Source organism: Homo sapiens, chromosome 1 (assembly GCF_000001405.40).
Source record: "Homo sapiens chromosome 1, GRCh38.p14 Primary Assembly".
Taxonomy (NCBI): domain Eukaryota; kingdom Metazoa; phylum Chordata; class Mammalia; order Primates; family Hominidae; genus Homo; species Homo sapiens.
The window spans coordinates 10,972,137-10,995,382 of NC_000001.11; the positions used below are offsets into that span (position 1 = coordinate 10,972,137).

At 50.0% G+C, this 23,246-nt stretch overlaps 1 protein-coding gene and 1 pseudogene across 1 annotated transcript in view; both read right to left on the minus strand.

Moving 5' to 3' along the window:
* Positions 1-9,940, minus strand: part of CIROZ (ciliated left-right organizer protein containing ZP-N domains) — a 35,602-nt gene extending 25,662 nt beyond the window's left edge. Inside the window, exons 1-2 of the mRNA NM_001170754.2 lie at positions 9,876-9,940; positions 4,020-4,120 (exon numbers count right to left, since the gene is read on the minus strand). Of these exons, the coding sequence (NP_001164225.1) occupies positions 4,020-4,120; positions 9,876-9,901 (127 nt within the window). The 5' untranslated portion in view covers positions 9,902-9,940. The remainder of the gene's footprint in view (positions 1-4,019; positions 4,121-9,875) is intronic.
* Positions 17,674-19,693, minus strand: CFL1P6 (cofilin 1 pseudogene 6; annotated as a pseudogene).

Below are 23,246 nucleotides of genomic sequence, written 5' to 3' on the forward strand. Positions count from 1 at the left end.
AAGAACAACAGCATCGTGAGATTGTTCAGCCCCAGGAAGTGGAATCCTGTTGGATGTAACCTATTTCCCCCAATAGAGCCCTGCCCAGAGTTGATAGAGAGCTTAAGTTAAATATACTCCAAGCTGGGCACAGTGGTGCACATCTGTAGACTCAGCTGCTCTGGAAGATGAGGCAGCAGGATCGCCTTTACCCAGTAAGTTGAGGTTTTAGTGTGCGATGATCATGCCTGTGAATGCCACTGCACTCCAGCCTGGGCAACCTAGCAAGACCCTGTCTCTGAAATACACACACACACACACACACACACACACACACACACACACACACACTCTAGAATTATTCTACAACTGAAGAAATGGGAATATGGAATAATATTGTCGGGCTAATTTCTCTCTCAACAGAGACATTTAAGCCACCAGGAAGAACACAAGGCACCTGGGCCCTGGAGTTGGATGATCAGGGCTTAGACCCTGGATCAACCTATGTGACCTGGGGCGAGTCATTTAATCTCTCCAAGACCCCATTTCCTTTTCTGCAAAATGGGCACATGTGCAGTAAATAATTAACTTGGGTCCAAAGAATTGGCCCTTTGCCCCTCCTGGGTGAAAGCAACTGGGAAGTAAATTCTAAGCCCTTGGAATGTTTTGCCTGTTAAGAGTGTCTCTGTGGCTGGGTGTGGTGGCTCATGCCTGTAATCCCAGCACTTTGGGAGGCTGAGGCAGGAGGATCACTCGAGTCTAGGAGTTCAAGACCAGCCTGGGCAACATAGCGAGATGCCCCCCCCATCTCTAAAATAAATAAGTAAAAATTTAAAATAAAAAAAAAAAGAGTGTCTGTTTACCTGGGGCATTGGGCCTTGCCGTATAGCCTTTGCTGAAAACGTGATTAATGCTGGTGGCCTTGGACCATGTGGTAATCAGTTCAGCCTCTGGAGGGGCTCAAGACTAAAGTCAGGCCAGGTGCAGTGGCTCACGCCTGTAATCCCAACACTCTGGGATGCCGAAGTGGGCAGATCACTTGAGGTGAAGAGTTCGAGACCAGCTTGGCCAACATGGTGAAACCCCGTCTCTACTAAAAATACAAAAATTAGCTGGGCGTGGTTGCGGGTGCCTGTAATCCCAGCTACTCGGGAAGCTGAGGCAGGAGCATCGCTTGAACCTGGGAGGTGGAGGCTGCAGTGGGCAGAGATCATACCACTGCACTCCAGCCTGGATGGCAGAGCGAGATTCTGTCTCAAAAAATTAAAAACAAAATAAAAATTTTAAAAAGACTAAAGTCAGCCACGTGGGTAGTCAGCCATGGCTATGCAACTGACCTCCAGTAAACCCTCTGGATAGGAAGGCTCAGGAGCTCTTCTCAGGTCTGCATACTCTGTATGTATTGTCACTCATCGCTGCTGAGAGAAGCTGGCCCCGTCTGTACAACCCCACGAGGAAAGGGCACCTAGAAGTGGTGGCAGTGGCTGCTGCCATCACACTGGCTGCAGCAGGGAGGTGTGGCTGGGGTCGAACACTCTATGGAGCTGGTGGGAGCCCCGCCCCTTCTGAGTTGGGACGGGAACTCCTTGGGTGCCTCGGCAACCTCCCAAACCGCAGCTGCAGATCCAGGCCTCCTGCTCTGTGGAGCAGGCAGGAGCCCCACCCTCCTGGATGGGGCTACAGCTGCCCAAACTGCAGCTGTGGATCGGAGCCTCCTTGTGCTCTTGGGGGAGGGCTAGGAGCAGGCAGGATCTGCCTTCCCGGGTGCAGCGGCAGCTGCCTTCCCAGGCCCAGGAGCTGGGTGTCTCTGCAGCCTGCACCCTCGGGGACCCCAGGAAGGACCCCCCCCACCAAGTCTCTGCAAGCTCAGGGGTGTCTTCTGCTGCCTGGCCTCTCTCCACTCTAGGGGCCTGCTCAGAGCTCTTAGGGGGTTTGGGGCCAAGCCTGTGAGCCATGAATGGCAGTGGGAGGCTGATTGATTCCTGGGTGGAATGGGGCAGGTCCCCAGTAAGGCCCCACCTGTGGGCCAGGGAGGGCCAGGGCTGCGGGCCGGGCTGCCAGTCCCCTGGACTGGAGTAGGGACTCGTGGTGCCTCTTTCTGGCTGGCCCATAGCTGCCCATGGACCAATCAGCACACACTTTCTCCCCTTTGAGGTCCATAAAAGCCCAGGGCACAGCCAAAGTCAGGCAGAGGACGGCCACAGGAAGACGAGCGCAGAGAGGCGATGGGATGAGTTGAGTACCCTCTCTGCTGAGAGCAGTAGAGGGTGGGACGACCAGTGGGCAGAGAAAAGCTAACCGCTCTGCTGACAGCTGCAGAGACCTGCAGAGACGTCCGAAAGACTTGCCTGTGGAGAGAAGCCACCCTCTCCAGGGCCTCCTCTCTGCTGAGAGCTGAACACTCCGTGGGAAGACCTGCCTACAGAGAGGAGCTACCCACTCCTCTGAGCTGTTCTAACGCTAAATAAAACTCTTCCCCTTCTTCACTCTTCACTTGTCTGTGTACCTCATTCTTCCTGGACACAGGACAAGAACTCCAAGAACTCAGGCAAAGGTGCCAGCGGCCACAGAGGTTTCCGGCCAGAAAAATGACACCCCAGAGATCCCGTAACAGAAGTTTGCCCCTGGGTATCTCCTGTACTGCACCCCGTACACCTCTTCCCTTGGCTGATTTTAACCCATGGCATTTAACCATAAGTAACACAGCTTTTCTGAGCTCTATGGGTCCTTCTGGTAAATTATCAAACCTGAAGGTGGTATTGGGCTCCCTTGAACTTGAAGTTGCTGTCAATAGTGAAGATAGTGTTGGAGACTCTTGAACCTTGTAGCACAAAAATAGCCCCCCCTTCACTGACATCAAGAAGATGAAATGAGGGCTGGGCATGGTGGCTCACGCCTGTCATCCCAGCACTTTGGGAAGCAAAGGCAGGCAGATCACTGGAGGTCAAGAGTTCAAGATCAGCCTGGCCAACATGATGAAACCCCGCCTCTACTAAAAATACAAAAATTGGGCCGGGCGCGGTGGCTCATGCCTGTAATCCCAGCACTCTGGTAGGCCGAGGCGGGTGGATCACAAGGTCAGGAGTTCGAGGCCAGCCTGGCTAACATGGCGAAACCCCGTCTCTACTAAAAATGCAAAAATTAGCCAGGCGTGGTGGCTCATGCCTATAATCCCAGCTACTCGGGAGGCTGAGGCAGGAGAATCGCTTCAACCCGGGAGCAGAGGTTGTGGTGAGCCGAAGTTGTGCCACTGCACTCCAGCCTGGGCGACAAGAGCTAAGCTCTGTCTCAGAAAAAAAAAAAAAAAAAAAAAAAACACAAAAATTAGCCAGGTGTGGTGGTGCACACCTGTAGTCCCAGCCACTCAGGAGGCTGAGGCTGGAGAATCACTGGAACCTGGGAGGTGGAGATTGCAGTGAGCTGAGATCACACCACTGCACTACAGCCTGGGCAACAAAGCGAGACTCTGTCTCAGAAAAAAAAAAAAAAAGGAAATGAAATGAGATGATGCATGTGAACCCTCAGCACAGGGCCAAGCCCAGAGTAAGCGCTCAACAAAGACATGTTACTCCCACAGTGTCATCTGTTTGCGGGGTGGCTAAGTGCAGGGGCTCTGGAGGGTGAAATCCTGGCTCTGCTACTCATTGCTATGGGACCTTAGACAAGTCACTCACTCCTCTGGACTTCGCGTCATCATCTAAAAGTCTTGTTAGAATGAGTTAATAGACACAAATCCCCCAAGACAGGCCCGGCACACGACACACGCTCCCTGTGCTGGTTTTAATTATTGAAACAAGCACCGAGCTCTGAGTCAGAGGATGCCAGGCCCAGCTAGCCACGTGAGCTCCAGCACTCGGCCTGCAGGAATGCCGCTTCCTTGTTGGGAGAATGACAGCCTGAAATCCACGCTTTGGTGAAGGCTTTGGAAGGCTTTCTCGCTTCCAAAGTTGCCCAGTGTCACCCAGCAGGTTGGTTCTCAGTCTGCTCATTGGGGAAATATCCAAAGCCTGATGCCAACCATAAAAGTGTGATTGATTCACCTGTTAAAACTTCTGCTGCAGAGCTTGGCTTGTCCGTGTCTGACCTGAAGGAGAGGCTCCATGGGAACACCGTGGGCTGAACACAGGCAAGCCAGACGGCCCTGCGGGAGAGGAGGGAAGGGGGTGGGGACATGCACCGCCCAGCTGCTGCCTCATCTACCTTCATTCACTCATTATATTTCTTTTTTTTTTTTTTCTGAGACGGAGTCTCGCTCCGTCACCCTGGCTGGAGTGCAGTGGCGCGATCTAAGCTCACTGCAACCTCCGCCCACTGCAACCTCCGCCTCCCCGGTTTAAGCAGTTCTCTGCCTCAGCCTCCCAGGTAGCTTGGGATTACAGGCACATGCCACCACGCCCGGCTAATTTTTGTATTTTTAGTAGAGATGGGGTTTCACCATCTTGGCCAGGCTGGTCTTAAACTCCTGACCTCGTGATCCACCCGCCTCGGCCTCCCAAAGTGCTGGGATTAGAAGCGTGAGCCACCGCGTCCCGCCCACTCGTTATATTTCTTTTGAGTGCCTACTATGCACAATGGCCAAGAGACGAAAAAAAAAAAAAAACCCATAAGTAAAGAAATAGAAGAACAAAATAATCTCAGATAATAATCAGGCTCAGAAGAAAATGAAACAGAGTGGTGAGATACAGAGAGCCTGAGAGGACCTCTGATGGGGAGGTCAGTGTGAAAAGATCATCCTCAAAAAAGGCAACATAGATTTTAGGCCGGGTGCGAGGGCTCACAGCTGTAATCCCAACACTTTGGGATGCTGAGGCAGCGGGGGATGGCTTGAGCCCAGGAGTTCAAGATCAGCCTGGGCAACATGGTGAAACCCTGTCTCTATTAAAACTATAAAACATTAGCTGGGCATGGTGGCGCATGCCTGTAGTCTCAGCTACTCAGGAGGCTGAGGTGGGAGGATCACCTGGGCCCGGGAAGTCAAGGCTATAGTGAGCAGTGATTGCACCACTGTACTCCAGCCTGGAGGACTACAGTGAGACCCTAGTGCTGGGATTACAGGTGTGAGCCACCATGCCTGGCCTCAAAAAGATTTTAAATGATGAATCTCGTGCCTATAATCCCAGCACTTTGGGAGGCCGAGGCGGGCAGATCACCTGAGATCAGGAGTTCAAGACCAGCCTGGCCAACATGGTGAAACCCCGTCTCTACTAAAATACAAAAATTCCCCGGGCGTGGTGGCGTGCGCCTGTAATCCCAGCTACTCGGGAGGCTGAGACAAGAGAATTGCTTGAGCCCAGTAGGCGGAGATTGCAGTGAGATGAGATCACGCCACTGCACTCCAGCCTGCATGACAGAGTAAGACTCCATCTCCAATAAATAAATAAATAAATAAAATGATGAATCTGTATTAAAGATTTTATTAACTCATTATTAGTGAGGGAACCAGGCAGAGGTTACAACCAGTTCAAAGGAGAAGAAAGAACAGATACATTTCTAGATCAGGATGCAAATAGACACCAAACTGGCTTCTTCCACAGTGGGGAAGGGAAGCCAATGGAACCTCCCCCATGAAATTTATTTGCGTGTCCATAGGCAGGAATTGGTTGCATTGCCATAGGTTCTCTATGACTTAGAGCACCATAAGATAGCACAAAGGTGATGAAAGGCTGGAGTTAGACAGCAGGAACCCTCTTCTCCAAATAATGCTTAGTTTTCCATTGAAGACACCAGTAACCTTTAAAAATAATATTTTTGTTTATTCCAAATTTCTGTTTTTGCCAGGCGCTGTGGTTCACGCCTGTAATCCCAGCACTTTGGAGGCTGAGGCTGACAGATCACCTGAGGTCAGGAGTTTAAGACCAAACTGGTCAACATGGCAAAACCTCGTCTGTACTAAAAATACAAAAATTAGCCAGGCGTGATGGCACACGCATGTAATCCCAGCTACTCAGGAGGCTGAGGCAGGAGAATCGCTTGAACCCGAGAGGCGGAAGTCGCAGTGAGCTGAGAGCGTGACATTGTACCACTCCAGCCTGGGTGACAAGAACAAAACTCCACAGTAAAAAAAAAAAAAAAAAGTTAGCCACCACGCCCGGCTAATTTATTAGTATTTTTTTTGTAGAGATGGGGTTTCACCATGTTGCCCAGGCTGGTCTCAAACTCCTAAGCTCAAGCGACCCACTCACCTCAGTCTCCCAAAGTGCTGGGATTACAGGCGTGAGCCACTGCACCGAGCCCCCAAATTTCTTTATGTCAGGTAAAACATCACTGAGAGGTGACAGTTGAACCAAGATGGTATGTATGTCACGGAGTCCCGCTGGGCATGGTGGCTTATGCCTATAATCCCAACACTTTGGGAGACTGAGGCAGGAGGATCACTTGAGCCCAGGAGTTTGAGACCAGCCTGGGCAAAATAGCAAGACTCGATGTCTACAAAAAGATTTTAAAATTAACCTGGTGTGGTGGCATGCGCTTGTGGTCCCAGCTACTCAGGAGGCTGAGGTGGGAGGATTGCTTGAGCCTGGGAGGTCTAGGTTGCAATGAGCAATGATTGTCCCACTGCACTCCAGCCTGGGTAACAAAGCGAGACCCTGTCTCAAAAAAAAAGAAAGAGTCCCATGCAAAGACCTGGGGAAGGGCATTCCTCAGCAGAGGAAATAGTCAGTGCACAGCAAACAGTCGGAAATGAGTTTGGTGTGTTTGTGTTTAAGGACTCAAAAGAAGGTCAGTGGAACTAGAGCCAGTGACAGAGGGGCCGCTGGTGGGCAAAAAGGAGAGGGGCAGGCAGGAGCCATGGCCAGGGGTGCAGGCTGGGGTTTTACCATAAAAAATTGTGGGAAGCCCTGGAGAACTCTAAGCAGGGAAGGAAGAGGATCTCACTTTTTTTTTCTTTTTTGAGACTGAGTATCTCACTCTGTCACCCAGGCTGGAGTGCAGTGGCACAGTCTCGGCTCACTGCAATCTCTGCTTCTCAGATTTAAGTGATTCTCGTGCCTCAGCCTCCTGAGTAGCTAGGATTACAGGCGTGTGCCACCACGCCTGGCTAATTTTTGTATTTTTAGTAGAGTCGGGGGTTTCACCATGTTGGCCATGGCTGGTCTTGAGCTCCTGGCTTCAAGTTATTCGCCCACCTCAGCCTCTCAAAATGCTGGGATTACAGGTGTGGGCCACCGCACCCAGGGCAAGGATCTCACATTTTAAAAGACTCTTCGGGCAGCTGAGACTCCAACTATTTAAAATGACTGCAGGCAAGAACCTAAACTTCCCACAAAGAAGCTTTCCTTAGAGGAGTTCAGGAAATAATCCTGAAGCCAGAAGCTGGAAAGAAAGAATGACAGGGAGAGATTGGCAGAATGTGGAGCATTGAGAAAGCTCCTGCCTCCTGGCGGGAGTGAGGTTGGTTCAACCACTCTTGGGAACTGGTAGAATCTACTAAGACTGAACATTCCTCCACCCTTCGACCCAGCGCTTCCTCTCCAACTGCAAGGCAAGCACAAGGGCATCAGAGGACACGTGCAAGACTGTTGACAGCAGTGCTATTATTTCCTGTAACCTGGAAACCACCCCAGCGCCCAGCAGTGGTAGAATGGACCCATTGTGGTCTACTCCTACAATGGAATACTGAACTGCAATGAAAAGAAAGAAACTACTATTGGACGGGTGCAGTGGCTCACGCCTGTAATCCCAGCACTTTGGGAAGCGGAGGCGGGCGGATCACTTGAGGTCAGGGGTTTGAGAGCAGCCTAGCCAACATGGTGAAACCCTATCTCTACTAAAAATACGAAATTAGCCAGGTGCGGTGGCGCATGCCTGTAATCCCAGCTACTCAGGAGGCTGAGGCAGGAAAATCGCTTGAACCTGGGAGGTGGAGGTTGTGGTGAGCCGAGATCTCACCATTGCGCTCCAGCCTGGGCAACAAGAGCAAAACTCCGTCTCAAAAAAAAGAAAGAAAGAAAGTTAACAGTTTAAAAAGCAATGTGAAAAGGCAGGAATGGGTGCTGCATTTCCTTCTAGGGCTGCCCTCGTTGAGCCATTCGATTCCTGGGTGGGCAGAGGGCCAGGGCCTCAGGCCCAGCCCAGGGAGGCCAAATGCCAGGGCCCACAGTCTCCCCAGAGTGGGTTGGCAAAGAATGACAGGACTGGTTCCCCAGCCTGGAATCTAAGCTGAGCCTGCAGCCTTTGAGCTGGGAGGAGCTTGCGGCTGCCTGGCTGCCCCGCTGCCCCGCTTCATTCGCTGAATTCAGAAGCGCCTGTGGCGAGCCTCTCCCATGGACGGCCGGGTACCCGCCCTGGGCTCTGCTGCCTGGACACTGAGCCCAATGCGGAATTCCTCTCCCAGCAGCGGGGAGGCGCTATTATTAGTTGATTAATTTGCAAAACAAAAACCTGGCTGGGGCAATTGGTCTTGAAGGAAGGTTCTCCCAGAGCGAGTAAATCTGAGACAGGACCAGAAGAATAATCTTGGGGAAAAGGAAAGTGGCTGACTCTGGTGCTGAGTCCCGGCCTTGCCAGGGACCCCGACTCTGCTGTTACACAGGGAATGCTGTCTGGAATCGGCCCGGTGGCAGGTGGGGGGTAGACAGCTCTCCCCTCCGTCTGATGCCTGCTCCTGTTCTCCTCCTTGAGCATCAATCGGGAGAAAGATGTGGGTTTGGGTTTTTCCCCCTCACTTCTCAGACCCAGAACTGCCCCATCCCAGTCTGGGGGGAGACATGATGCTCCATCCCCCAAAGCTGAGCCCCCTCATGGGGCATCCAGGAGAAGGCAATGGGTCCCCAGGACAGGGCCCGGACCTCCCCCTTGCTCGCCCAGCCCCACAAAGCCCCACTCAGCTTCTCCACTGCCTTCATTGTCTACAGACTTCAACCTCACAAAACGCCCAACAAAAGCCCTGCAGTCCACGGCCCAAAGGCCACAAGCCAGCTATTGTGACATTCCAGCTGGCCTGGGAGGCTTCACTTCCCACTCTCAGGAGCTTTTTAAAGTATCTCTTAAAAATGCATCTCAGATGGGGAAAAGAGGTAGCAATTCTGTTGCCAAGGAAAATGAGATTTTGGCCAAGTGCAGTGAGTCATGCCCGTAATCCCAATACTTTGGGAGGCCGAGACAGGAGGATGGCTTGAACCCAGGAGTTTAAGACCAGCCTGGGCAACACAGTAAGACCCTGTCTCTACAAAAAAATTAAAAAATTACCAAAGTGTGGTGGCACATGCCTATGGTCCCAGCTACTCAGGAGGCTAAAGTGGGATGATCACTTGAGCCCAGGAGTTAAGAGATGACAGTGAACTATGATCTTGCCACTGCACTCCAGCCTGGGCAACAGAGCAAGACTCTATCTCAGGAAGAAGGAGAGACAGAGAGGGAGAGAGAGAGAGAAAGAGAAAAGAAAGGAAAGGGAAGGAAGGAAGGAGAAAGGAAGGAAGGCAGGGAGGGAAGGAAGGAAGGGAGGGAAGGAAGGAAAATGAAATTTTCTCCTAATCCTTACAATCGAATAGCTAGCGACCACAACTCCTATCATTTGAAAACTCCTTGAAATCAAGCATCTCTTGGTCAACTTGACCCCTAATTTGTTTTGTTTTAAGGACCCTCTAGGACAAGGAAGACGTGTTCTGTTTTCTCCCAATCTTCTGGAAATCCTTCCCAAGATGGGAGGACTGGAATTCCAGAACAAGGGATGACAGGAGCATGAGAAAGGTGGGAGAGACTGTGGCCGGACCTCACCTGAGAAAGTCAGCCCTTCCCAAGGCATCCATGCATCTGGGCCCCTCACCCATTTGGCCCCCTTCCCTCTTAGATGCAAGGCTTCTGATTCTGATGGAAGATATTTGGCTTCTTCAAGGAGTGTGGGCACACTAAGCATGCCACTGGCTTCTCCCAATTCCTGAATAAGGGACACTTACCAGGCAAGTGCTGGGGACCCCCACATCCTCAGGCCCAGCAGCTCTCTCCTGCCCTGGGAGAATTTAATCTGAAGCAGTTCCAAGCAACTAAACGAAAGGTTGGCTCCTCCCCTTCCCCTCCAGTGCAGGTCTCGGGTCACTCAGGTGCCAGAAAACACAGGTGGGTGTCAACACTCTCAGCTTCTCCCCATCCCTCTGCATGGGTGAGATGAATTGCTTCAGCCGTGGGAGCTCAAAATAAGATTGCGGATCAGAAGGCTGAAGATGAATTGATCCACTGAGGCTGGAGTGCAGGCCCTCATTCTCCGCTCCCGGGAGAAGCCTGTCTCTGTGCCCAAGGAAGGAAAGAAGCTAAGAAACTGAGCTTCACCGGAGGAACAGTCACGCTGTCTTGATGGGGCTTCCCAGAACCCTGCTCCAGGCCCCTCCTGGCAGAGTTCAAAAGGAGCTGAGGGGCCAGGCATGGTGGCTCATGCCTGTAACCCCAGCATTTTGGGATGCAGAGATGGGCAGATTGTTTGAGGTCAGGAGTTCGAAACAAGCCAGGGGAACATGGCAAGACCCTGTCTCTACAAAAAATTTAAAAACTAGCTGGGCATGGTGGCACACACCTGTGGTCCTAGCTACTCAGGAGGCTGAGGTGAGAGGATTGCTTGAGCCCAGGAGGTTGAGGCTGCAGTGAGCCCTGATTGTGCTACTGCACTCCAGCCTGGGCAACAGAACAAGACCCTGTCTAAAAAAAAAAAAAAAAGGGGCCGGGCACAGTCACTCATGCCCATAATCCCAGTGATTTGGGAGGGCGAGGCAGGCTGATCACCTGATGTCAGGACTTCGAGACCAGCCTGGCCAACATGGTGAAACCTTATCTCTACTAAAAATACAAAACTAGCCAGGTGTGGGGGTGCACGCCTGTAATCCCAGCTACTTGGGAAGTTAAGGCAGGAGAATTGCTTGAACCCGGGAGATGGAGGTTGCAGTGAGCCAAGATCGTACCATTGTACTGCAGCCTGGGTGACAAGAGCAAAACTCCGTCTAAAAAAAAAAAAAAAAAAAAAAAAAAAAAAAAAAAAAAAAAAAAAGACCAGGCGCAGTGACTCACGCCTGTAATCCTAGCACTTTGGGAGGCTGAGGTGGGTGGATCATCAGGTCAGGAGTTTGAGACCAGCCTGGCCAACATGGTGAAACCCTGTCTCTACCAAAAATACAAAAAATAGCCGGGCTTGGTGGTGGGCACCTGTAATCCCAGCTACTCTGGAGGCTGAGGCAGGAGAATCGCTTGAACCTGGAAGGCAGAGATTGCAGACAGCTGAGATCGTGCCATTGCACTCCAGCCTGGGCGATACAATAAGACTCCGTCTCAAAAAAAAAAAAAAAAAGGAAGAGGAGATTAGGGCACGGACACATACGGAGGAATGACGGTGTGAGGACACAGGGAGAAGATGGCCAGCTGTGAGCCAGAGAGGCAGCTCCGGAGAAACCAGCCCTGCCTGCACCTTGATCTCAGACTCCTAGCCTCTAGAACTGTGAAGAAATCAATTGGTGTGTAAATCCCAAGTCTGTGGTACTCTGTCGTGGCAGCCCTTGCAAACAAATATCCCTGCAAAATGAGGATTTAGGACTAGATGGTTCCTAATACCCTTTGCAAGTGAAAAAAAAAAAAAGTCTTGATTTTAACTATTCCATTTTATCTGTGTTTATCCCTTCCTCCCCCCGCCCCAAATACTTGCCATTATTGAAAGTCGAGGAAGCCAGGCACAGTGGCTCACTCCAGCCTGGGCAACAGAGCAAGATTGTATCTCAGGAAGAGAGACAGAGAGGGAGAGAGAGAAAGAGAGCCTGTAATCCCAACATTTTAGGAGGCTGAGGTTGGCAGATCACCTGAGGTCAGGAGTTCGAGACCAGCCTGGCCAATATGGCGAAACCCCATCTCTACTAAAATTACAAAAATTAGCCGGGCATGATGGCACACGCCTGTAATCCCAGCTACTCAGGAGGCTGAGGCAGGAGAATCGCTTGAACCCAGGAGGCGGAGGTTGCAAGTGATCCAAGATGGCGCCACTGCATTCTAGCCTGGGTGATGAGCGAAACTCCATCTCAAAAAAAAAAAAAAAAACCAGAAACTAATTATCTCCCAGGTTTAGAGGCCAGAAGTCCAAAATCCAGGTGTCAGCAGGGCCACGATCTCTCTAAAGATCCCAGGGGAGGGTCGTTCCCTGCCTCTTCCTAGCTTCTAGTGGCTGGTGGCAGTCCTGGGTGTCCTGGGCTTGTAGCTGCATCACTCCCATCTCTGCCTCCGTCACCAGCATATGGTATTCTTCCTGGGTGTCTCTGTCCACATTTTTCTTTTTCTTTTTTTTTTTTTTGAGAGAGAGTCTCACTCTGTCACCGGGCTGGAGTACAGGGGCACTAAGTGCTGGGATTACAGGCCTGAGCCACCACGCCCGGCCCCAATTTTCCTCTTCTTATAAAGACTCTAATTACTGGATTAAGGGCCAGCCTAATCCAGTATGACCTCACTTAACTTGATTGCATCAGCAAAGACCCTATTTCTAAATAAGGTCACATTCCCACATATCTGGGATTTGGCTTTTTTTTTTTTCTTTGAGACAGGGTCCTACTCTGTCACCCAGGCATGAGTGCAATGGTGCAATCACGGTTCACTGCAGCCTCGACCTCCTGGGTTCAAGCAATCCTCCTGTTTCAGCCTCCTGAGTAACTGAGAATACAGGCACACACCACCATGCTTGGATGATTTTTAAATTTTTTCTAGAGACAAAAGAGACCAGAGGGAACAGCCACGGTGGCTCACGCCTGTAATCCCAGCACATTGGGAGGCTGAGGTGGGCAGATCACTTGAGGTCAGGAGTTTGAGGCCAGCCTGGCCAACATGGTGAAACCCCATCTCTACTAAAAATACAAAAATTAGCCAGGCATCATGGCGCATATCACTCATTCTAGCTACTCGGGAGGTTGAGGCACGAGAATCACTTGAACCCAGGAGGCAGAGGTTGCAGTGAGCTGAGATCACACCACTGCACTCCAGCCCGGGCGACAGAGCAAGACCCTATCTCAAAAAACAAACAAACAAGAGACAGAGACCAGAGGTCTCTGAGATGGGGTCCGTACGAAAGATACCACTACGTTGTCCAGGCTGGTCTCAAACTTCTAGGCTCAAGTGATTCTCCTGCCTCAGGCTTCCAGAGTGCTGAGATTACAGGTGTGAGCCACTGCACCCAGCCTGTTTCTCTTTTTCTTTTCTTTTTTTGAGACGGAGTTTCACTCTGTCACCCAGGCTGGAGTGCAGTGGCACGATCTCTGCTCACTGCAACCTCCACCTCCCAGGTTCAAGCAATTCTCTGCCTCATCCTCCCGAGTAGCTGGGATTACAGGCACCTGCCACCACGCCTGGCTAATTTTTTGTATTTTTAGTAGAGGCGGGGTTTCACCATCTTGGCCAGGCTGAACTTAAATTCCTGACCTCGAGATCCACCCGCCTCAGCCTCCCAAAGTGCTGGGATTACAAGCGTGAGCCACCACACCCAGCCCTGTTTCTCTTTTTAACTCATCTTTTTGTTGACCAACTTTTCCTTTAATCCCAAATTGCTCGGGATTTATCATGAGCCGCCTAAGAAGACATGGAGTTGGAAGTGGAGACCCAGAGTGGTGCATGGAAGCTGGTTGTCACCAGGATCTGTTCACGCTCAGGTGAAAGGCCCTCATCACACCAAACAGAAGCAGGCAGGATCAGAACACACAGCTGGTGAAACCCTCACGGGCCCTGGAGGAGGCCCAGATGCCCTGGCCCACTTCATAAGGCCTCAAACAGAAACGCCAAAGCCAGGGCAAACATCACTGGTACACAGCTCACTCAGAGAACCTGCAAGGACCACCCTGGAGCTGTTGTTTAAATCTTAAAAAGAGAAGAAGAAACAGGAATTGAAAAACAGGTTTTCTTTCCTAATCTGATACCCTAAACCCCATTCCTCCTACACACACACGCACACACCTATAAACATAGCCACAGACATCTCTACACACACACCCTGAAACCCACCTACACACACAACCCTATACAAAACTCTTAGCATATGCCCCACACACTCCTAGAAATGCGCGCGCACACACACACACGCAGTAGGGGCTCCCGTCTTAGATATTTTTAGAGAAAGCAATTTCATTGGGGTCTTTCCAGTGGAGCTCAAATTTCATTTCTCCATTTGGGAAAATCACATTTTCAAAATAGCTTTCTTTTTTTTTTTTTTTTGAGACAGTCTCGCTCTGTCACCCAGGCTGGAGTGCAGTGATGCAATCTCAGCTCACTGCAACCTCTGCCTCCCGGGTTTAAGTGATTCTCCTGCCTCAGCCTCCTGAGTAGCTGGGACCACAGGCGTGCGTCATCAAGCCTGGCTCATTTTTTTGTGTGTGTTTTTAGTAGAGTCGGTGTTTCACCGTGTTAGCCAGGATGGTCTTGATCTCCTGACCTCGTGATCCACCCGTCTCAGCCTCCCAAAGTGCTGGGATTACAGGCGTGAGCCACCGCGCCCGGTCAAGAGTAGCTTTTATGCAATAGTTGGAAGCCGTGAGAATTGGCCAAGTCAGCCCCAGCACGGTTTTCCCCATGGTTTTCTTATTAACACCTTCCTTCTCTTGCAAATACCCACTGAGCTGGTTTTTCAAAAGCAGAAACCACTGACCCACTCACTGGTCTCCTTTGATACTTAGAGGTTAACGATTACTAAAAATATACATATTGATTCCAACTGCCAAGCTTCCCAGGCCTTTTCAGGATGTCCATCTTGCTGAGATCTGGCACCATTACTTACCACTTTTATGAGGAGGAAACCAACATTTAACCAAACTATTACCAGGCTTGCTGAAGTTCCTCCTGATCAGTCAGTTACAAACACACAAAATAACTAGATACTTGGTTGCCTGAGAGGCAGAAGGTGAATGGGCAATGCAGCCTGTTGGTGAAACACGGTCTTTTTTGCTCTATTAGAATCATGAGACCGGGCGCGGTGGCTCACGCCTGTAATCCCAGCACTTTGGGAGGCCACAGCAGGTGGATCACCTGAGGTCGGGAGTTTGAGACCAGCCTGGCCAACATGGAGAAACCCCACCTCTACTAAAAACACAAAAATTAGCCAGACATGGTGGCGGGCGCCTGTAATTCCAGCTACTTGGGAGGCTGAGGTGCAAGAATCGCTTGAACCAGGGAGGCGGAGGTTGCATTGAGCCGAGATTGTGCCACTGCACTCCAGCCTGGGCGACAGAGCAAGAGACCCTGTCTGAAAAAAAAGAAAGAAAGAAAGAGAGAAAGAAAGAGAGAAAGAGAGAAAGAGAAAGAGAAAGAAAGAAAGAAAGAAAGGAAAGAAAGAAAGAGAAAGAAAGAAAAGAAAGAAAGAAAGAAAGGAAGGAAGGAAGGAAGGAAGGAAGGAAGGAAGGAAGGAAGAAAGAAAGAAAGAAAGAAAGAAAGAAAGAAAGAAAGAAAGAAAGAAAGAAAGAAAGAAAGAAAGAAAGAAGCAGCATGATTCAGGCCGGGCACGATGGCTCACACCTGTAATCGCAGCAGGATTTGTTGAGCCTAGTAGTTCAAGAGCAGCCTGGGCGATAAAGTGAGACCTCTGTCCCTACAAAAAAAAAAAAAAAACTAACCAAGCATGGTAGTACTTGCCTATGGTCCCAGCTATTGGAGAGGCTGATGTGGCTGAGGCAGGAGGATCACTTGATCCCAGGAGGTTGAGGCTGCAGTGAGCCATGATCATACCACTGCACTCCAGCCTGGGCAGCAGAGCAAGATCCTGTCTCAAAAAAGCAATAAACAATAAATAAACGGGCAGGGTGGCTGTAGTCCCAGCTACTTGGGAAGCTGAGGCAGGAGGATCACTTGAGCCTGTGAGGTTAAGTCTACAGTGAGCCATGATCAAACCACTGTAATCCAGCCTGAGCAACAGAGTGAGACCCGTCAAAAAAAAGAAAAGTAAAGAGAGAAAGAGAGAAAGAGACAGAGAGGGAGAGAGAGAGAGAAAGAGAGAGAGAGAGAGAGGAAGGAAGGAAGGAAGGAAGGAAGGAAGGAAGGAAGGAAAGAAGGGAGGAAGGAAAGATTTAAACCATTCTAGAAGGGAAGTTCCCCTCTCCTGAACAGAATGCAAATCTTTGCCCATCCTTGCCCTGGAAGGAGAGCAGCCAACTTTTCTGCTGCTAAGAACTGCCATTAATGGGCTGGCCTCCTCTGAGTCAGCAGGGTGCTGAGTGCTTGACTTGAGCATCTCATGCAGAAGTTCTTACCTGGGGTCCACCCTCAAAGATACACGCACAGAATTCATGGGGTGCTTGAACTTGGATGAGGGGGTGGAAATTACATCTTTATTTTCAATAACTTCTACTTGAAATTTAGCGTTTCCATTATGAACATAGTCAACAAGCCATCACATTGTTATGACTTTATGACTCTGTCCCCAACAGAAATTCCAGATATTTTCCTATCACACGAGAATTGTTACAGAGATCTCCAGATATCTCCAGATATTTCTCAGTACTTTTGAATTAAGGCACTGACCCAACCTGCTGCCATTTGATGTCAAAGAAAAAAGTGCTTACAGCCAGGCGTGGTGGCTCACACCTGTAATCCCAGCATTTTAGGAGGCCGAGGCAGGTGGATCACCTGAGGTCAGGAGTTCCAGACCACCCTGGCCAACATGGTGAAACCCCGTCTCTATTAAAAACACAAAAATTAGCTGGGCATGGTAGCACACGCCTGTAATCCCAGCTACTCGGGAGGCTGAGGCAGGAGAATCGCTCGAACCCAGGAGGCGGAGGTTGCAGTGAGCATTGTGAAGGGAATGAAGATACCTCACATCCCAAAACGGAAACCCAGGGGATGGACCAGTGTTTGCAGAGGAAGTTCCAGCCCTCTCTCTACTCCCATTCCTTGGGCAGCTCCCACCATGTCTGGGTCTTCCCTCTGCCTCTGTTGAAGCCCCTAAATGTGGACCCCAGGGCAACTGTGAGACCCAAGGGGACCCCTGAACACTAGAGGGTGGCAGTAGGACTCCTTTGTGCCCCCCAACAATGTACGTGAGCCTGCAGATCTGGAACAGTGGGGAACGTGCGCCTCAGTATGCACCCCCGCCTCCATCTATGAACATGCAACTAGCTCACTCTCACCAGACAGCTGCAAGAGAGCAGGGATTCCTAAACCCTGGATGGAGTCAGAGTGACAGTCACATACTTCACTCCCGAGAGAAACTTCTGGGCCTTGTAAATCCTGTAGTCTAGCAAAATGTCCCCCTGTACTGAGATCACTCATAGGTCATGGGAGATCCTCTGGAAAACACGGAAGCTCTCTGACATCACCATGTAATGATTCTTTTTCTCTTTCTCATGAGTGCTGATGGGTAAATAATGGTAGCTAATATTGACTGAGAACTTTTGATGTGCCAAGCACATAAAAAAAAAAAAACTTATTTATGGCCAGGTGCAGTGGCTTACACCTGTAATCCCAGCATTTTGGGAGGCCGAGGTGGGTGGATCATCTGAGGTTAGGAGTTCGAGACCAGCCTGGCCAACATGGTGAAACCCCGTCTCTACTAAAAATCCAAAAAAAATTAGCCAGGTGTGGTGGCAGGTGCCTGTAGTCCCAGCTACTTGGGAGGGTGAGGCAGGAGAATCACTTGAACCCAGCAGGTGGAGGTTGCAGCAAGCCAAGATCATGCCACTGTATTCCAGCCTGGGCAACAAGAGTGAAACTCTGTCTCAAAAATAGATAGATAAATAAATAAATAAAATTATTTTTGTATTTTTATTATTATCTCTTTAATTTTTTATCAAAAGTCCCTGTATTAGTCCGCTTTCAGGCTGCTAATAAAGATATACCCAAGACCGTGCAACTTACAAAAGAAAGAGGTTTAATGGACTTACAGTTCCACATGGCTGGGGAGGCCTCACAATCACAGTGGAAGGTGAAAGGCATGTCTCATATGGTGGCAGACAAGAGAAGAGAGCTTGTCTGCAGGGAAACTGCAGGGAAACTCGCCTTTTTAAAACCATCAGATCTCGTGAGACTTACTATCACGAGAACAGCATGGGAAGACCTGCCCCCACGATTCAATTACCTCCCACCAGGTCCCTCCCACAACACATGGGAATTCAAGATGAGATTTGGGTGGGGACACAGCCAAACCATATCAGTCCCTTACTGGTCCTACTTCCATGAGTGGCCATGACCAGGGGAAAAGGGAGAGGGACCAGCCAGCAAGGGGAGGGACCATCTCACAACATTCCATTTATACACAGACCAGTATCAAGTTACTATTGTGGTTAGGAGTTGGGAGCACGGGTAGTAGCGGTGTTGTTAAAAAAAAAATACAGCCCCTCCCCCAAACTGGGGTACCTGGGGACAATTTAGTCTGCTTCAACCCAAGAGGAAACAGATCAAAATTGGTTTGGGGCTGGATGCAGTGGCTCATGTCTATAATCCCAGCACATTGGGAGGTTGAAGTGGGAGGATCACTTCAGCTCAGGAGTTGGACCAGCCCGGGCAACAGAGAAAAACCCTGTCTCTACAAAAAGTATAAAAATTAGCCAGGTGTGGTGACACGCACCTGTAGTCTCAGCTACTTCAGAGGCAGAGGTGGGAGGATTGCTTGAGGCAGGGAGGTCAAGGCTGCAGTGAGCTGTGATTGCACCACTGCACTCCAGCCGGGGCAACAGAGTTAGACTCTGTCTCAAAATTTAAAATAAAAAAAAAAGTGGTTTGGGAAGGCCAGAAACATCAGGAATGGAGGGAGGAAGAAAATCCAGGTGCTGGGAAGGCCCTGGGGCGGCAGGCTCTTTGGAAGGCATTGCCTTCCCCATGCTGGGATCCCCCCAGCACTTCAGGTTTGGCAGGAAGGGGGCAGCCTGCAACCCCCAAGGGCAGGTCTGGGGCTGCCAGATGTTCCAGGCATGGGGCTGTAGGGGACTCACAAGGCGTGCCCTCCAGGGAGATGACAGCGCCGCTCCCAGCTTCTCGCCCGGTCTGCCATGGTCCTTGACCTCTTGTAGCAGTTTGCTTGTTCATGCTTGATCCCTGTCAGCTTCTTTTTGTTTTTTTTTGTTTTTTTTTTTTTTTTGAGATGGAGTCTCATTCTGTTGCCCAGGCTGGAGTGCAGTGGTGTGATCTCTGCTGCTCACTGCAACCTCTGCCTCCTGGGTTCAAGCGATTCTCCTGCCTCAGCCTCCCGAGTAGCTAGGATTACAGCACGTGTCATCACACCCAGCTAGTTTTTGTATTTCTAGTACAGATGGGGTTTCACCATGTTGGCCAGGCTGGTCTTGAACTCCTGACCTCAAGTGATCCACCTGCCTTGGCCTCTCAAAGTGCTGGGATTACAGGCATGAGCCACCAGGTCCGGCCCCTGTCAGCTTCTTGATGGCATCCTTAGAGCTGGCATAGATCATTTTGCCCTTAAGGGGTACAGACTCAGGGGCCCAGAAGATAAATACCAGGTCCTCCTTGCTCTCCTTGGACCCATAGGTTGCGTCACCTCAGAGGACACAGCAGCAGTCTTTGTCTGGCAGCATCTTGGCAAAGGTGGTGTAGGGGTTGTCAACGGTCCAGCCCATGTCATCCACCAGGGTCTCCTCGCCCTCCTCCAGGGCGATGTTCTTCTCACCCTCACTCAGGCAGAAGAGCAGCACCATTTTCTTGCGCTTCTTCACCTCCTCTGGCGTCGAAGATTTGCCCACTGTCATGTCAGTGAACACCTTGATGACACCATCAGAGATAGCCACACCAGAGGCCATGTTTTCAGAAATGAAAAGGAGATAGCAGCCAGGTGCTGTGGCTCACGTCTGTAATCCCAGGTTTGGGAGGCCAAGGCAGGAGGATTGCTTGAGCCCAGAAGTTTGAGACCAGCCCAGGCAATATGGCAAGACCTGGTCTCTACAAAAAATTTAAAAAAAAAATTAGTCTGGCATGGTGGCATGTAACTGTAGGCCCAGCAACTTGGGAGGCTGAGAGGGGAGGATTGCTTGAGTCCAGGAGATCGAGGTTGCAGTGAGCCATGTTCACACCACTGCACTCCAGTCTGAGCAACAGAGTGAGCCTATGTCTTGAAAACAACAGCAAAGAAAGAAAAGGAAGGAAGGAAGGAAGGAAGGAAGGAAGGAAGGAAGGAAGGAAGGAAGGAAGGAAGGAAGGAAAGCAAAGCCAAGCCAAGCCAAGCCAGGCATAATGGCTCATGCCTGTAATCCCAGCACTTTAAGGGAGGCAGAGGTGGGTGGATCACTTGAGGTCAGGAGTTTGAGACCAGCCTGGACAACATGGCGAAACCCCATCTCTACTAAAAATACAAAAATTAGCCTGATGTGGTGGAACATGTTTGTAATCTCAGCTACTCAGGAGTCTGAGGCATAAGAATCAGTTGAACCTGGGAGGCTGAGGTTGCAGTGAGCCAAGATTGCACCACTGGACTCCAGCCTGTGCAACAGAGTGAGACTTCGTGGGGAGGGGAGGGGAGGGGAAGGAAAAGAAAAGGAGATGGCAAGGAGAGCCAGAGAAGAGGAGAGCTGCTGTGGCTGCTGCCAGGGTCTGACTGAACCAAGCACTTTAATTGTCCCCATAATCCTATGATATGAGGTCCATACTCTTACTACCCCCATTTTACAGAGGAGGAAATAGAGCCCTAGAGCTGTCAGTGATTTGGGAGAAGTCTCAAGTCTGGTGGGTGACTTGAACTTGGCCCCACGTGGTCTGGATGAGGCAAGTTACACCAAGACCTATGTGTCTCTTTTCTAGAACATGTGCCTCAAGTTGCAGCAGAGGGAGGCACGTATGGAAATGTCTGCAAACTTCTTTGTTAAAATGTTTTTTCACCTTGTTTAGAAAACATACTAGTTTGATTTAAAGAAGCAAATCAACAGTTAAGAGCTCAGATTCCAGAAATATTCAAACTCGGGAGATATCGGAGAAATGCAAACAAAGATGGCGTTATGAGAGAGCATTTTACACTCATCAGAAAGGCAAAAATTAGGAAGGTGGGAATGAGACAGGTGGAGGATTGGCCAAGCTGTGCAGACAGGCAGGAGAGCAAGGAGCTAAGAGCCCAGGTGCCATAGCCAGTCTGGGGTGGATCTCAAAGCCCATCCTGGCGCTTCTGAGCTGGTTTCCTTACCTGAAAAATGGAGACAATGTTATAAAATTATTGTGAGGATTCAAACAACCATTGACATCAAGTGCTGGGAATGGAGTCTATGCTGAATAAGGGATCTGAACCCAGCACCGGCCACTATAAGCTCCCAGAGGGAAAGGACTTTTCTCGGCTCCTTTGCTGTATCCTCAGTGCCTAGAATAACTGAGCACAGGGACAATCTTCAGGGGAACCAGCAAGTAAACTATGGTAGAGTCGTACTATACACTATCCCATACACTGCAGCAGTTAGAAGCAATCACCTGGCGCCAGGATTGGTGAACTTTTCCATTAAAAAATAGATAGCACTTTGAGAGGCCGAGGCAGGCAGATCACCTGAGGTCAGGAGTTTGAGACCAGCCTGGCCAACATGGTGAAACCCTGTCTCTACTAAAAATACAAAAATTAGGCCAGGCGCAGTGGCTCACACCTGTAATGCTAGCACTTTGGGAGGCTGAGGCGGGTGGATCACCTGAGGTCAGGAGTTCGAGACCAGCCTGGCCAACAAGGTGAAACCTCGTCTCTACTAAAAAATACAAAAATTAGCCGGGCGTGGTGGCGCACGCCTGTAATCCCAGCTACTCAGGAAGCTGAGGAAGGAGAATCACTTGAACCCAAGTGGTGGAGGTTACGGTGAGCTGAGATCGCGCCACTGCACTCCAGCCTGCACCACGGGAGCCAGACTCCATCTCAAAAGAAAAAAGAATACAAAAATTAGCTGGGTGTTGTGGGGGGACTATTGTGGTCCCAACTACTCGGGAGGCTGAGGCATGAGAATCACTTGAACCTAGGAGGTGGAGGTTGCAGTGAGCCGAGACTGTGCCACTGCATTCCAGCCTGTGTGACAGAACGAGCGTCTGTTTCAAAAAAAAAAAAAAAAATAGGCCAGGTGTGGTGGCTCACGCCTGTAATCCCAGCACTTTGGGAGGCCAAGGCAGGTGGATCTCTTGAGCCCACGTGTTCCAGACCAGCCTGGGCAACAGGAAAACCTGTTGAAAACAGGAAGACCAGCCTGGGAAAACCCTGTCGCTACAAAAATTACAAAAATTAGCCAGGTATGGTGGTGTACACCTGTAGTTTCAGCTACCTGGGAGGCTGAAGTGGGAGGATAACCTGAGCCCGGAAAGGTCAAAGCTACAGTGAGCTGTGATCACACCGCTGCACTCCAGCCTGGGTGACAGAGGGAGACCCTGTCTCAGAAAAATAAATAAATAAAATAAAATGACCAATCTGCTTTAAAAAAAATCGTTATTTTATTTTTATTTATTTATTTATTTTGAGACGGAGTCTCGCTCTGTCGCCAGGCTGGAGTGCAGTGCAACCTCCAACTCTCTGCAACCTCCGACTCCCTGGTTCAAGCTATTCTCATGCCTCAGCCTCCCAAGTAGCTGGGATTACAGGCACACGCCACCATGCCCAGCTAATTTTTGTATTTTTAGTAGAGACGGGGTTTCACCATGTTGGCCAGGCTGGTCTCAATCTACTGACCTCGTGATGCGCCCGCCTTGGCCTCCCAAAGTGCTGGGATTACAGGCGTGAGCCACGGCACCCTGCCAGATAGGAAATATTTTAGGCTTTGCAGACCACAAAGACACTGCTACAGTCTTAGATAATATGCAAATGAGTGGGTGGGGCTGTTCCAAAACCTTTATGGACATTGAAATGTGAACTCTATGTCATTTTCTTTTTCTTTTTTTTTCTGAAACAGACTCTACTCTGTTGCCCAGGCTGGAGTGCAGTGGTGCAATCTTGGCTCACTGCAACCTCCACCTCCCGGATTCAAGCGATTCTTGTATCTCAGCCTCCTGAGTAGCTGGGATTATAGGTGCACACCACCATGCCCGGCTAATTTTTTGTATTTTTAATAGAGACGGGTTTCACCATGTTGGCCAAGCTGGTCTTGAATTCCTGGCTTCAAGTGATCCTACCACCTTGGCCTCCCAAAGTTCTGGGATTACAAGTGTGAGCCACCATGCCAGGCCTCCATGTCATTTTAATGTGTCACAAAATATGATTCTTCTTTTGATTTTTTACCCCAGTCATTTAAAAATTAGCTTGCTGACTGTACAGAAACTGCCATGCCCCAGATTTGGCCTATGGGCTATAGTTTGCTGAGTCCTATTCTAGGGCTACAACCCAGAGAAATTTTGTTTTTTTTTTTTCTGAGACAGCATCTTGCTCTGTCGCCCAGGCTGAAATA